The 12,503-nt window shown below is 46.9% G+C and overlaps 1 protein-coding gene across 6 annotated transcripts in view, besides 1 other annotated feature; it reads left to right on the top strand.

Moving 5' to 3' along the window:
• The window catches only part of CHST8 (carbohydrate sulfotransferase 8), a 151,557-nt gene that overhangs the window by 79,771 nt on the left and 59,283 nt on the right, over nt 1–12,503 (top strand). The gene's annotated exons all lie outside the window — the stretch shown is intronic.
• Nucleotides 809–1,382: an enhancer, noted in NCBI's record as "H3K4me1 hESC enhancer chr19:34193437-34194010 (GRCh37/hg19 assembly coordinates)". NCBI's record gives its function as "activates a minimal SCP1, AML or CMV promoter by ChIP-STARR-seq in naive H9 embryonic stem cells {active_cell/tissue: H9 hESC(naive)}" and the evidence as "EXISTENCE:reporter gene assay evidence [ECO:0000049][PMID:30033119]".

Genomic DNA, 12,503 nt, shown 5'->3' on the forward strand with positions numbered 1-12,503 from the left:
GTGCATGAAATGTAGTCAGGGTTATTGTTTATTGGGTGCCTGGCACGTGGTACTCATTCTATTTTCCCTCGCCCTCCTCGGCAGGCGTCTTTATCCTCAACTGAAACTTAGGGAGATTCATTCATTTACCCAAAGTCCTGAAGCCTGCGTGGCTCAGCCAGGATTTGACCCCAGATCTGCCTGATTCCAAAGCCTGTGCTCCCCCTTCTCTGTCCTTCTTTCCTTTTGCTATTAGTTAATGTCATGGTCTATATGTTTGTTTGTTTGTTTGTTTTTGTTTTTTGAGATGGAATCTCGCTGTGTCACCCAGGCTGGATCTCAGCTCACTGCAACTTCCGCCTCCCAAGTTCAAGCGATTCTCCTGTCTCAGCCTCCCGAGTAGGTGGGATTACAGGCATGCACCACCACTCCCAGTTTATTTTGTATTTTTAGTAAAGACGGAGTTTCACCATGTTGGCCAGGCTGGTCTCAAACTCCTGACCTCGGTGATCCACCACAGGAATCCACCTGCCTTGGCATCCCAAAGTGCTGGGATTATAGGCGTGAGCCACCACACCCGGCCTATGTTTTGTTTTAAGGTAAGGGGTCTTGCTCTGTCACCCAGGCTGCAGTGCAGTGGCATGATCATAGCTCTCTGCCACCTCAAACTCCTCGATATTTCTTTTCTTTTCTGATGTTATTCTACCATTTTTCTCAAAGGACATTTCTTGCCAACACCCAGCAGATTGTGGCAACTGTCAGCTCCCCAAACCGAAGCCCCAAGGCTCTTCCATTGGTTGAATTAATAAAACCTACAACAAAGACACCTTCTGAAATTTCAGTCCAACTGGAAAACTGGGTCTCCCATTATGTGGGGGCCTGGGCAGGGTCCAGGAGGGGCAGGCGGTTCCGATGCTTGTCCTGCGTCCCCAGGTAGCCCCAGTGTTGGGTTGCGTCTCCACAGTGGCCAATTGTTCCCCAGAGGACCCCCGAGGGGGATGAATCTGGCTCTGTTCACCTGCCGTGTGAGTCACAGCCCAGAGGGCCCAGAGCAGGTCTCAGGTGTGGAGTGACCCCGTTCCCACTCTGCCTGGCCCAGAATGCATTGGAGGGACCGGGGGAGGAGGAAGCGGAGGTCACAATCTGTGCATGAGATGCCTCAGGATTACCTCGGGTCTGGAGTGCTGGGACTGCTCCGAGGGCCAGGCATTGAGCCCAAGGAGGACTGAAGGCTGGGGGCTGGGGAGGGATGCCACATGGCTGGACTTCTTTTCCCTCCTCCTGTGCCTACACCTCCCCCACCTCTGTTCCCATTCACTGCCTGAGCATCTTCAGTGAGAGTCACCTGGCATCAGAGCCAAGCCTCCCGCACAGCCCAGGGCAGCTGCCGTGGAGAGGTGGAGGGCAGGGGAGACTCCACTCCCCAAGTGGCACCAGGCTCCAAAGAGGCCCGAGGTAGGGGGCCCTTTGCCCGGCTCTGTCCCCTTCCCCCAGCCTCACTTGGCCTGGAGTCTCAGGGCCAAGGGGGAGGGCCTGGAGACATCCAGTGGGTTGAAACGGGGCACACCCACTGCCAGCATGAAGAAGGGCCCGGTGGGGTCCCACCGTGTGCCAACCCTCCTGATGTCCTCGAGCCCCTGTTCCTAACACAGGCAGCAGGGAAGTGGTGAGGAGTCCACCCACGCTCCAAGGACAGGGCTGTTGCTACGATTGCTGTCCTTCTCCATGGCCACTGCGTAGGTCTTGGTTTTTTAAAACTCTGAAAAAGTTACGGTGGTAGTTATGACAACAGAAGCCTGGAGGTCCAGTTCTGGAGGCCAAATGCGTGGGTCGGTAGGGGCGGGCGCGGGCCCACACACCCTGGGGCTAGACGCACCTTCTGCTGGGCTCCAACTGCCTGCCGGTGGGGTTATCCCGCTCTTGCATTGAGGTTGACACCATTTGTGGTGCCTTTAGGGTCACTGCAGATCCCCCTCTCCTTCTCACAATATTTGCAGAAGTTGGGAGCCTCTGGGCGGATCTCATTTAAGCCAAAAAAGCTTCACCATTATATGCCTGCTGATGTTTTCATTATGAAGCTTATTTTCCAGGATTTGTGGCTCTGCAGTTTTGACTTGAATCATAGTGGAAGTCAGTGGAAGATTCGCTCATTTTGAAATTTTATTTTATGTGGGGAAAATAGCTGAGCTTAAATCGGTTCAGTTGTGCCCTCTGACAGCTGCCACTGGGGAGTCCCTGCACAGCGCAGGCTCCTAGTGGGGGGTGGAGGAGCTCCTGGGGGCTTCTCATGTTCGCGTCTGGGGTCCCAGAGGGAAGTCGGGGGCTGCCTGTCATCTTGCCCTCAGGCCTGGATGAGGCATTTTTCAGCCCTCCCCAAAAGGCCTGAAGACTTCTGAGAGGGTGGGCTGGCCCCATCCTAGCTCCCCACCAAGCTCTGTGCCTGGTCTTGGTTTTCCACCAGGGCGGGACTGCAGGGATGATGATCCGTGAGCCCCTCACTACATCTGGTTGTGTCCAAAGGTGCTTCACCATGGGAAGGCTGCTCCTGGCATTCCTCAAGTCCTGGATGGAGTCCCAAGACCCCATCCCACCTCCTCCAAAGGCTACAGCCATTTATGAGTGCATTTGACCTTTGCCCTCAGGGTCTGGGTCTGCATTGGAGGGAGGGGAATGAGGAGATGTCCATGGGAACTGTGCAGGGTCACTGGGATCCATCAGACAGTAGGCCTGACAGAGCCACAGGGAGCGGGAGACCACAGGATGGGGGAAAGGGGATGGGGTGAGGGGGAAGTGGACAGACAGGCCCCAGGGCCAGGGGCCACCGATGCTCCACTCCAGCCCAGAGCTCTGTGCAGGAGTGTAAGTCCAGGGTGGCCAGGTCATCCTTTTTGTTTTTGTTTTGTTTTTTATAAAAGCTAAGAATCTGGCCAGGTGCAGTGGCTCACACCTGTAATCCCAGCACTTTGGGAGGCCGAAGCAGGCGGATCACTTGAGGTCAGGAGTTCGAGACTAGCCTGGCCAACGTGGTGAAACCCCATCTCTACTAAAATTACAAAATTTAGCCGGAGTTGGTGGCAGGCACCTATAATCCCAGGTATTTAGGAGGCCGAGGCAGGAGAATAGCTTGAACCCAGGAGGTGGAAGTTGCAGTGAGCTGAAATCACGCACTACATTCCAGCTTGGGCGACAGAGTGAGATGCTGTCTTAAAAAAAAAAAAAAAAAGCTAAGAATCGGTAACATACATTTATGTGGATTCTCCTGATTTTAAAGGGGCAGCTCTAATTTGGAATGTGTTTTTTAACGTTAGATAATAGGTGATGTTTGGCACCTACTGTTGGTTGGATGGGCTGGGAGGACTAGATCTTTCCAATACCCTAAACCCCCGTAGGGCTGAGACCTGCCCCCTAGGCCCTATTTGGCTCCATGCCTGCTCTCCCTATACCCCCTGGGAGGACACAGAGGAGGTGGGTCTCCTGGTGGGAAGGGGATGCTAAGAATTACTTCCAGCCCCATAGGACCCCCATGAAGCCAGACCCCAAGCGGTCCATGAGCAGAGCATCTCCTGGGCTCCGCTGACCAACAGTGGCTGCACAGAGCCCCTCAGTGGCATTGTTTGGTTCAGCAGCCGGGAGCCCTGCCAGATACCTGTTCACTGTTCAGGTCAGGCAGGGGACCTGAGGGGTCGGGGAGGTGACTGGTCAGCAGAGATACAGGGAAGGCAAGGGCCAGAGAGTGGGGTTCTGGGGAGCGCACCTAATTAAAACCTCCTTCATTTACGCACAGTTACTCACATGCAAATATTTGCACCCACTGACAAGCTTCTGTTGCTGTAGCAAAGGAAGAATCAATTCAAGCAAAGCTTTCCTGCGAGTGGGCACTCTCTCCAGTATCTACCTGGAGATGCGGGTGTGGGTGCCCGTGGGTGTAAATGGAGGAGGATTTCTGACTTGGCAGCCTGCTTCCCACAGTGATGGGGTGTGGCAGGCATGGCCACCCTGGCTCCCTTTCTGCCCCCCTAGGGCACCATGGCAGCCACACTCAGCAAGGGTCCCTTTGGAGAGGGGCCTGGCCTGGCCCAGCAAGGGACTCTGCAGATTCGCCTTCCCTGCTGCCTCTGTGTCACAGCGATGTCCCCAGTACTAGGAGAGGGACCCAAGAGTCCTGAGAGCATTCAAGGAGGTGGCATCCAGGGGTGTGGTATGGGCAATGATGATGGTGTGAGCACTCAGTGCCTACTGTGTACCAGGCACTGTGTTTTACATGCTTTACCAATATCCTCATGCCAGAGCCTCGCTGTACCCGTCTCTATTTTATAGATGAAAAAACTGAAGCACAGAGAGGCAAAGTCACTTGCCCAAGGTCACACAGCCAGGAAGTATCAGTGCTTGAACTAAAACCCGGTTCCTCAGATCCCAAAAGTCTGAAGTCTTCTTGGTGACCGGACAACCACTCAGGGCTGGGAGCAAGCACCACACTATGAGATGCATGGCATTGGAGGGCCAGCCTGGGTTAGAGGTTGGGGAGCTGCACGGCACTGCCCTTCAGACTGTCAGGGCGTGCTTCATTCCTGCTCACAGCAGACATGTTCTGGTTCTTGTGCACACGTGTGTGTGTCCTGATGAAGAGTCAGGTGCCCATGTGTGTGCATGTGTGTGTGCATCTGGCCCTCACCCATAATCCTAGCTGTGTACAAGTATGTGTGCTCACCTCAGTATTACTATACACCCATGGGTGGACAGATGCCTTACGGTTCATGTGGAAAGCACTTCACCCTGAAGTCTGGGCTGGCTGCTGTGAGCGTACCCTGACAATGTCACCTGCCAGGTCATGGGGCAGGCAGGGGCAAATGACTTGGGCCCCACAGAGTGAGTTGTCTGTCGGTTGTCAGCCACAGGATTGGGTGACAAATTGCCATTCCAGCAGGCACTCAGCAAAGCCAATTATTGTAACCCCTTGCCCACGACCCGCACAGACCAAATAATGAAATTACATTCATAATATTTCAGGTCAAGTGATCGCTGCTTGAATTAGTTCCTTCCCAGAACCCAGCCAGAAGTAGCGGCAGTAATTAAAGGATTTTCTGGGCTTAAATCAACTGTGCGCGTCAAGCGTGTACAACACACAGAGCTTGCAAAATGTGTGCAGGCCTCGTCCCTTCACTGGGGAGTGAAAAGGACAGGCCATGATTGTGGGAGGACCACAGGCCGGGAGGAGGTGTGTTATTCCTGCCAGGGAAATTTTCCACTTTCACTCACTTATTTTAGAGACGTTTACTGAAAGATCCCTGCTCCAATGGGGCCTCACAGTGAGTAAGGTGATGGGGACTTTCTGGGGTCCACCCTGACTCCTCCCAAGCAGGTATTTTAGCAGTGTTGCAGGGGTAGGGTGCTGTGTTTCCCAGACTAAAGTGCAGGTCAGAGTTCACTGCAGCTTTAAACTCCTGGGCTCAAGCGATCCTCCCACCTCAGCCTCCCCAGTAGCTGGGACCACAGGCACATGCCACTGTGCCCGGCTAACTTTCCAATTTTTCTGTAGAGACAGGGTCTTGCTGTGTTGCCCAGGCTAGTCTTGAACTCCTTGCCTCAAGTGATTCTCCTGCCTTGGCCTGCCAAAGTGCTGGGATTACACGCATGAGCCACCTAGCCTGACCTAATTTTAGGATAATTCCATTGCCCCCGCCACTAAATCTTTTGTGCCCACTTCAATCACTCCCCATTTTCACCCTCAGCCCCAGGCAACTACAAATCTCCTTTTTATCACTATAGCGCTACCCTTTCTAAACATTTCATATCAATGTAATCATACACTGTGTGGTCTATCATATCTGGTTTCTTTCACTCTGCATGATGGTTTTGAGAGTCATATTTTTTGATATTTACTCATATCAGTTTGTTTCTTTTTATTGTCAAATAATATTATTCTATTACATGGAATTGCGGTTGATCTGTTCACCAGCTGCTGGATACGGGATTGTTGATACTTTTGGCCATTAGGACTAATGCTGCTATGAACATTCATGTGAAAGTTTTTATGCAAACCTATGTTTTCATTTTTCTTGGGTAAATATTTAGGAGTAGAATGGCTAGGTTGTAATAGTAAATTTACGTTAAATTTAAGGGATACTGACAAACTGTTGGCTAAAATTGCTGTACCATTTTACATTCTCACCAGCAGGGTATGAAGGTTCCAATTGCTCCACATTCTCATCAAGACTTGTTATTATCTGTCTTTTTAATTATAGCTATTCTAGTGGGTGTGAAGTGGTGTCTCATTGTGGTTTTAATTTGCATCTCTCTAATGAGTACTATTAAGCATATTTTCATGTGCTTATTAGCCATTTGGATATATTCTTTAGTGAAATATCTATTCAAGGCTTGGCCCATTTTAAAAATTGGTTTATTTATCTTTTTATTGTGTTGTAATTATTTTCTAGATATAAGTATTATTTGACTTGCAAATAACTTATCCCATCTGTGGCTTGTCTTTTCATTTTCTTAATAGTGTCTTCTGGAGTGGAAAAGTTTCTAAATTTGAAAAAGTGCAATTCAACATGTTTTTCGTTGATGGATTATGCTTTTTGTGTTGCGTCTAAGAAATTTTTTCCTAATCTTAGCCATAAAGATTTTCTCTTATGTTTTCTTCTAAGTTTTTAAGTTTTGGCTGTTACATCTGTGTCTGCGGTCCATTTTGAGCCACGTTTTGTGTATTGTGTGAGGTCTGACTTCTTCTCTTTGCATGTGAATATCCAGTTATCCCAGTTCCCAGCACGTGCTGAAGACTATCTGTTCCCTATCGAATTGCCTTCGCACCTTGGTCAAAAATAAATTGACCATAAATTTAAGAGTTTATTTCTGGAATCTCAATTTATTTCATTGATCTGTATGTCTATTCTTTTGCCAATAGTGCAGTGTCTTGATTAGTATAGATTTATAAAAAGTTGTGAAATCAGGAAGTGTAAATCCTTCAGCTTTGTTCTTTTTCAAAACCATTTTGGGTATTCTGAGTCTTTTGCATTTCCATGTAAATTTTAGGATCAGCTCATCAATTTCTGCCAAAAAGAACAACACCTGCTGTGACTTGATAGGAATGGCATTGACTGTAATAATAAACTTGAGAGAATTGTCTTCTTAACAATATTGAATCTTACAATCCATGAACGTGGAATGTCTCTCCACTTGTTTAAATCATCTTTAATTCTTCTTACCATTATATTGTAGCTTTCAGTATACAAGTCTTATCTTTCTTTAGTTAAATTTATTCCTAAGTATTTTACTCTTTTTGATGCTACAGTGAATGGAATTGTTTTTCTAATTTAATTTTGGGATCATTCATTGCTAATATATAGAAATACAATTGATTTTTGTATATTTATCTTGGAACCTGTAATTTGTTAGTTAATTCTAATTGTTTATGTAAATTCCCTAAGATTTTCTACATACAGAATTATGCTCTCTGCAAATAATGAGATGTTTACATCGTCATTTCCAGCTCGAATGCCTTTTATTTCTTTTTCCTGCCTGATTCAACTGACTAGAACCTCTAGTATGGTAGGAAATTGAAGTGGTGAGAGTAGACATTCATGCTTTATTCCGGATCTTAGGGGAAAAACATTCCATCTTTCACCAATAAGTATAATGGTTGCTCTAGGATTTTTGCAAATGACTTTTATGACCTTCAGGAAATTGTCTTCTATTACTAGTTTATTAGAAAAAAAAATTTAACCATGAATAGGTGTTGGATTTTGTCAAATACTTGTTCTACATCTATTGAGATGTTTATGTTGTTTCATCCTTTATTCTGTCAAAACGGTGTATTATATTGATACATTAGCCTCACATTCTTGTGATAAATCTCACTTGGTCATGGTGTATAATCCTTTTTATATGTTACTGAATTAAGTTTGCTCAAATTTTGTTGTGGATTTTTTTTTTTTGAGGGATAGTTGTAGTTTTCTTGTGATGTCTTTATCTGGCTTTGCTATCAGATTAATACAGGATTTAAAATGAATTGGGAAGTATTTTTACCTCCTCCTACCCTATTTCTCTGGAATAGTTTAGGGAGGATTGGCATTATTTCTTTTTAAATGTTTATTAGAATTTATCAGTGAAGATATCTGAGACTAGACTTTTCTTTGTGAGACATTACTTTTTTTAAAGATGGAGTTTTGCTATTGTTGCCCAGGCTGGCCTCTAACTCCTAGGCTCAAGAGAACCTCCTGCCTCAGCCTCCTAAGTAGCTGGGACTACAGGTTCATGCCACTACACCTGGCTCCAGACTTTAAAATTTTAAATTTCTAGCTCAATGTCTTCACCATAGTTCTATTCAGGTTTTCTATTTCTTCTTGAGTCAGCTCTAGTAATTTATGTCTTTCTAGGGCTTTGTTCATGTCTTTCTAGGGCTTTGTTCATTTCATTCAAGTTGTCTCATTTGTTTAGCATAACAGTGTTCATAGTATTCTCTTATAATCACTAGTGATGTCCTCATTTTCATTCATGATGTTAGTAGTTTGTATTGTCTCTCTGTTTTCTTTCAAAGTCTAGCTAAAGGTTTGTCAATTTTGTTGATCTTTTCAAAGAACCAACTTTTAGTTTCATTGTTTTTGTCTGTTGTTTTCCTGCTTTGTATTTTATTATTTCCTTGCTTTAGTTTGCTTCAGGTTTAGTTTGTCCTTTTTTCCTCTCTTTTGTTTGCTTTATTTGTTACTTCCTCTCTTTTGTTTGCTTCAGATCTAGTTTGTTCTTCTTTTTTCATTTCTTAAGGTGGAAGATTAGGCTATTGATTTGAGATTCTTCTTTTCTAATATAGACATTACTGCTATAAATTTTCCTCTAAGCACTGTGTTAGCTTTAGTCAACTTTAATTGTCTGATTTCCAGATCTTCTTATTAAATTTCTGTCTGATCTGCTGATCTATTGGTTCTACCAATTTTATCACAACCTTGGGCTAGCTAAGATTTTTGAATTATTTTCAGCAACACTCTTGGGCATGGAATTTTCCAATCAATCAATGTTCATGCCTGATTCCCCTTGGTAGAATGTAAGCCCCCAGGGAACTGGGCAAGGTGATGAAAGCAGCCCCAGGCTACAATGCCATAACCTCACACTGTTCAGTAGATTTTCTTGAATAAACGCTTCTTGATATGTTGTATGCTTTTGGTCAATTTCTGGAGTTTTTTTTTTTTTTTTTAAGGGGTAGGGTCTCACTCTGTCACCCAGACTGGAGTGCAGAGGTATGATCATAGCTCACTGCAGCCTCAAGCTCCTGAGCTCAGGCGATCCTCCCTCAGCCCCCCAAGTAGCTGGAACTACAAGCATATATGACCATGTCCAGCTAATTTCTTTATTTTTTGTTGAGAGAGGCATCTCACTATATTATCTAGGCTGGTCTTGAACTCCTGATATCAAGCAATCTTCCTGCCTTGGCCTTTCAGAGTGCTGGGATTACCAGTGTGAGCCACCATGCCTGGCCCAAACTTTTTAAATGGTGATGGTTGTTGTTTTTCCTGTTCCGTCATTTCATTTTGGGAAAGAAGCTACCAGGCTTCTCACTCAGCTCTTTCAGAAGCCCTAAGTCTAGGACTGGGGTCTTGATATCTACACAGACAGGAGATGAGGTCTCTGACTCAACCACAGTGCTGAGCTGGAAGTGCAACTGCTCTGTAAATAGAGCCCTCAGAAGGTATCAGAACCTCTGGCCATTGGTGGAGTATGTTGGGACAATCCTAGTTTACACCTGTGGCCTGGTGTAATTATTATCAGTGCCCCCTTACTCTCAGAAGTGGGTTTATTTGATGATAAATCATATGGTCATTGTGTAGTATAAATTATTGTATACTTCTGTACTTCTGTAAGAAGAAAATGCAACCAGAAAGAATGGATACAAGAAGTAGTAGTAAGGAAATAAATTGTAGGAACATTGTTAAGTATAAATAAGTATTTACTTTTTTTGGTGAGACAGAATCTTTGTCACCCAGGCTGGAGTGCAGTGGCATGATCTTGGCTCACTGCAACCTCCATCTCCCAGGTTCAAGCAATTATCGTGCCTCAGCCTCCCGAGTACCTGGGATTATAGGTGCACGCCACCACACCCAGCTAATTTTTGTATTTTTTAGTAGAGATGGGGTTTCACCATGTTGGCCAGGCTGGTCTCGAACTCCTGACCTCAAATGATCTGCCTGCCTTGGCCTCCCAAAGTGCTGGGATTACAGATGTGAGCCACCACACCCAGCCAATATTTACTTTAAAAATAATAAACACTAATTTTGCCAGTGTGTAAGGACAGCGACAACGTGGAAGTTTAGACAGGAAACCGTAATTGGAATGAAAAGGTCTATAAGATCTTTATGTTGTTAGGGAAGACAATAAGGATAGTAAAACAAACAAAGAAACAAAAACCAACTTTGGACTTTATTTAAAACAAGGCTAGTCACTGGAATTGTGATGTATATTTTCTGGCCTCTGCACTGACCCCTCCCAGTAGAGCCCACTCCTAGAGCTGGGTGGCTGTTTAATCACTTCCCGTTCACCCGATTGGTGAGGGGGGATTCCCATCCATGGTTATGGGGATGGCCAGCACTCAACACTGGACAGAAGAGATCAACAGCAGTTTATTTGTTATTATGCCCAAGCCTGGGGGAGGAGGATTGCAGGGGTTGCACTCGGAAACAGGGTGGACAAGCGGGGGCTGTGGGAGGCAGGCTTTGTAGTATCAAGAAGGTGAGGTGACCCCTGGTTGCTGTGGGAGGATGTCATGGGTTTGTTTGAATAATTCCATGGGCGGGCAGGGAGTGAAACCTGCTACTTGTGAATCAGCAGGCACTGTGCCTAGTCCCTTGATAAGTAGGTCATTTGGCTGGGGGACTTATCCAAGCGAACAGTGGGGAGAGGAACTTGCCGTTAGTCCATTTGCAGCCGCCCACACTTGCTCCAGGTGTCAAGGTAGCACATAATTTTAAGGGTCTTAACTTTAGGCCTTGCACTGCAGCGGCAGACTGTCTCACAGGAGCCTAAGGGTGGGAGCACTCCCTCTATCCTGAGTAGGGGCTGACCCAAGCCAAGTGAGTTGAGGAGGAGACTCCTTGCCCGAGTCTCAAAACCCCCACCCCCAACTTTGGTGCTGGGATCCCCTGCTCAGTGTCTGCCCTGATCACCCTCTGCCCTCTCACTCTGCCTGTCTGTATATTGGTCTCTACCATCTGTCCATCTTCACTTTCAGGGACGTGCTGTCAAAATCCATAGCCCTGGGGCTCATTTGTGGCTCCTCCTTCAATGATGTATATGGAGGCTGGCCAACCCATGTGGCCCTCGCCCCATGGAGAGCAGCTGGGCATCGTTGATGAGGTGCTGAGCCCAGCATCGGGTGGCTGGCACTCATACTCCCCACCAGCCATAGGCAACCCCAGCCTCCTCTGACATAAGCCCCTCCATCCCTGACACACATGAGGGGGTCCATAGCCTAGCAGTGCTCACTGTCATCCCAAGACCTAATGTGATTCTGTGGGTGGGTGCAGGTGAAGTTCACCTGCTGCTTCTCGCTACCCACAGCAGTCTGTGGAGATGCCACATCTTCCTTTCAAGATCTGCGATCTCCTAATGGAGGAAGGAGGATTGGCTCCCCTGGTAGGCCACCATCACCTGGGAGATGCAATGGTGCCCTCCCAGGGGAGCCAATTATGCAATGGCATGCTTGGTGAGTGACATTCTCATGAACGCCACTGCAGCCTGGGCAGTTGGCCAAGCAGCTGCCCACTTCCCTCTTTTCCTACAGGGTCTCCATTTCTCCTGGGAGCATATAGCTCTCAGGCAAAACCTGAGTATTCTGAGTTATGTCCACTGGGGAGGCTGGCACTGGGGCTTTTTTTGTTTTTGTTTTTGTTTTTTTGAGACAGAGTCTTGCTCTGTTGCCCTGGCTGGAGTGCAGTGACACCATCTGGGCTCACTGCAACCTCCAACTCCCAGGTTCAAGTGCCCCTGTCTACCTCCTAAATAGATAGGATTACAGGTACCTGCCACCACGCCCGGCTAATTTTTGTGTTTTTAGTAGCGACAGGGTTTCACCATGTTGGCCAGGCTGGTCTCAAACTCCTGACTTCGAACGGGCACCCGCCTTGGCCTCCTAGTGTTGGAATTACAGGCGTTGAGTTACCACACCCAGCCACTGGGGGTTTTGAACCTGCCACTCTTTTGAGCTGCAGAATCCCTGACAGAGCCTGGCTGAGGAGTGCAGGGCTGGGGGCAAGAACAGCCAGAACACTGTGGCTTCCTTCAATCTACCTGCACCAGGAGGGGCAGGCGTTGCTTAGAACAACAGTTCTCAACCTTGACTGCTTGTTAGGATCACCTGTGGAGGTGTTAAAAACCCCAGTGTCCTCTATGGAAAACAGTATGGAGATTTCTCAAACAACTAAAAGTAAAACTACCATTTGATCCCGCAGTTCCACTACCGGGCTATCTACCCAAAGGAAAAGAAGTCACTCTATAAAAAAGACACCTGCCTTATATTTCTTGCAGCAGTACTATTCACA

This window comes from Homo sapiens, chromosome 19, assembly GCF_000001405.40.
Source record: "Homo sapiens chromosome 19, GRCh38.p14 Primary Assembly".
Taxonomy (NCBI): Eukaryota; Metazoa; Chordata; class Mammalia; order Primates; family Hominidae; genus Homo; species Homo sapiens.